The 3351-nt window shown below is 31.2% G+C and overlaps 1 long non-coding RNA gene across 1 annotated transcript; it reads left to right on the plus strand.

The window, feature by feature from the left end:
- Positions 1-567: 567 nt before the first annotated feature.
- On the plus strand, positions 568-2844 carry LINC03121 (long intergenic non-protein coding RNA 3121). Its single transcript, NR_189291.1, has one exon. It is a non-coding gene; the product is annotated as a long intergenic non-protein coding RNA 3121 (long non-coding RNA).
- The last annotated feature ends 507 nt before the right edge of the window (positions 2845-3351 follow it).

A 3351-nucleotide genomic window follows, 5' to 3' on the forward strand; every position in this document is an offset into this window, starting at 1 on the left:
GGCTGAATGACCTGCTGAGGATCATGAAGTTAGAATGCAGAAAAATCAGAATGAAACAAAGATGTGATTTACATCAAGCAATGATAAAGGGAAAAAGAACATTGCACTTGGAATTGCAGGGGATTCTCACAAAAATAGTGACTGTCCTGTTTCTCTGAGGGATAATGCTTAATATATCACTGTCTGTTTCTTCCCTCTCTACACTTCAAAACTAACTGGTTCCTATATATGTATGATTCATGAATATCAGAATAAAGAGTAAACTTAATCCAAACAATACATAGTGAAAAAATAGATGCTGTATTGACAAGAAATGGAATTAATAAGAATGGAATATGAAAAGAGTAACAAAAGTACATTTCTTTTTCTAATCAAGCAATTCTAACCTACCCCTCCCCTTATTGAAACCTGAATGCAGTGCACTAAATTTCATTTGAGCAAAAACTTCTTAATTGGGACCAAGCAGTCAGAGAAGTAGATGGCAGATGCTCATGTACTGGTCAACAGAGACAATGCTCACACTGATTTAGGTGACAAAGCTGCTATTGCAAGTGTCACCTTGTGAATAGAGTGACATTGGTGGCAATTAGAGAAGAAACACCTATCTGACAGTGAAAATGAAGGCAGTGAAAATGAACACAAGCCTGAAGAAATAACATGAAGTGAATTAACAGGACAAGGCAGCTTGTAAATTGTAGTTTCGCAATAGTTTTTAGAAAGAACAAACAAACAATTTTACCTAAAATGACCATTGATCTTTGTTGATTGGCTAAATGGATTCCACTAGCAATGATAGTTTAAAGGATGATAAAGCATCATATTGCTTCAATTAAATATATAAATAACATGGTAATTCTTAGAATGTGATTTTTGATAGTTTTATCTTTCAAATATATCAGTAGCATATTCACATCCCTTGTGATTCTTTGAAGCTGTTTGGAAGGCTGTACAGGTTATAACCCATAGGCAGCATTTTGCTCTAGTTTTTTTCGACCACAGAACATTGAGGCCTACACTGAATCTTCACTTGTGCCATTGTTTTTCACTTGTGTCAGTTTAAAAATGCATTTCACATCTTCTGTAATTGGTAATCCCATTTTATATCTCTTTTATTTATTTTCTTTGCTTCAGTTTATTATTACATACAATCACATGCAGTCCTAACAGATTTTGGTGACAAATACAGTCAGGTACAAACATAGAAGGAATTCCCACCTTTATATTTGTAGAAGTATTTTCAATTACCATCACTCTTGAAACAAAATCACAAAGAACATACGGGAGAAATTGTTATTCTCATTTTATAAAGACACAAATGCCCAAAGAAGTGATATATCCTATGTAAGGACATACATTGCTACCTTTTAAACACAAAAAATGAATAAAATCCATAAAAAATCTAAGCCTAAATTTTGTCAAATCATACTCATGAAACTTCACTTGTCATCACTGAGATCCTCATCTGCTTTCATTTCTCAGGGGTACACACAGTAAGTCTCAGATTTTCTTCACACTGCCTATTCATAAACATATTGATTTAACATGGGCAACCAGATCAAGTGAATGCTCAATCATGGGCATAACTCTTACCTTGTTGAAAAACCAAACTGCTGATGCCTGAAGAAATGGTATGTGTTAGTGTAGACACACATACTCATGTTAGAAATATGTACATATGTTTTTAATACACATACACATATTTTAAATACCCACTGTTGGATTTTTTTTTCAAAATGCACTTGAAGAGATTGTAGGCTTTAGTTAATCAGTGCAGGAGTTTTATACTTCAGAAACTCTCTCTCTGTCTCTCTCTGGTATCTAGGCATAATTAAAGTTTAATTGTGAGAAATTTCCCTGATAATTCCTGATTTATCAAAGTTCATCCAAAATATAATTCCTACACATTAATGGTGTCAGTACTCTCAGATTTGGGCTTAAATGAATAAGTCACTTCTAATATACCAAAGGAAATATGCTTCCTTGGAGAGTTTGAAAAGAGCAGAATAAAATTTGAGAAGAAATATAATAAATGAAGTTTTCATACTATTTATATCTCCTTTTCTGTAAAATGTCCTTTTTAGAAGTAGTAGATCTAGTCTAGGTACATCATAAAATTCCTAACACCTATGGCTGAATTAAATCAAAGCCAAATGACCATATGGTAAAATTATTCACCATGGAATACTGCTTTTTAAAATTCTTTTTACTTAGGCTACAGTAGTCCCCAGTCAATCCTGATGCATTAAGAATGTCTGACGCATTAGCATATTTTATAATTGAGCTGAGAAATTATGTTACTATTAATTTATTTTTGAAATATTAACTTGCTTTTAAAGGAAGTACAATGAATAAATGTCAGAAATATTTATGCCAACACATTGTTATGTCAGGTATGCCCTTGAAATTCCAAGCTACATTAACAAGAAGACTGCTGGGCCTTTGAAGAAAGTTTGCTTTATATCCAGGCAAATTGCAGTTTGAATTGTGCTATGGGGCAGGCCAATATGAATAAATAAAGAATGGCACAGGCATCAAAAAATAAACTACTATTAATATGACATAATTAAAGTAATATAGTTATTATTAACAATAATTCAGAGGAATTATCAAGTTTATGCTTATATTGTTTGTTATGAAATTGTATTACACTTTTATTTTAGAGAATGATGTTTGGCGTTTAATTATGTGTGGCAACATTTTTACTGTAAGAATTCTACTTAAATCTTGCTTTGTTCTAAAATTTCAAATTATTTATGGTAAGAAAATAAGCCACCTTCTACACATCTTTCTCTTATAACATCTATTTTATTAAATAAACTTGTCTTTTATGTTGCTTCATATAAATAAGTTTTTGAGGTGGCTTAGATAATACCTGTTGATTGATTATTCAATGTATTCAAAATGTATTAGTTATATTTTTGTATTTAATATCTTAATAAATATCTTAAATGTATTAGACACTAATAAATAATCAATATAGGATCTTATGTTTATTATAGGCAAGTGTGTGGACTTACTATATAATTTATCATCCTTGATAAATTAGGTAAATAAATAAAATATACAGAAGAATGGCATTTGAGGTAAGACATCTCATTAGTGAGATTTTCTTGAATCCTAATATTTGAGTACCAAGAACAGTGCTTTCCACAGTTTATGTCTTATGTGTTTTTGCACATAACATATATACTCATTTACAAATCATTTATAAAATAAGTCAGAAGAATACTAAACAAAACAACATTTAAGAAAAAAGAAGCTTATTAAAATAGAATTGTTACGTTTCCATTGTGAATACACAAGGGAAGGGTATGGGGTGAATAAGGTGGAGGGAAAAGACAGCATTTCTTG

This window comes from Homo sapiens, chromosome 1, assembly GCF_000001405.40.
Source record: "Homo sapiens chromosome 1, GRCh38.p14 Primary Assembly".
NCBI classification, from domain to species: Eukaryota; Metazoa; Chordata; class Mammalia; order Primates; family Hominidae; genus Homo; species Homo sapiens.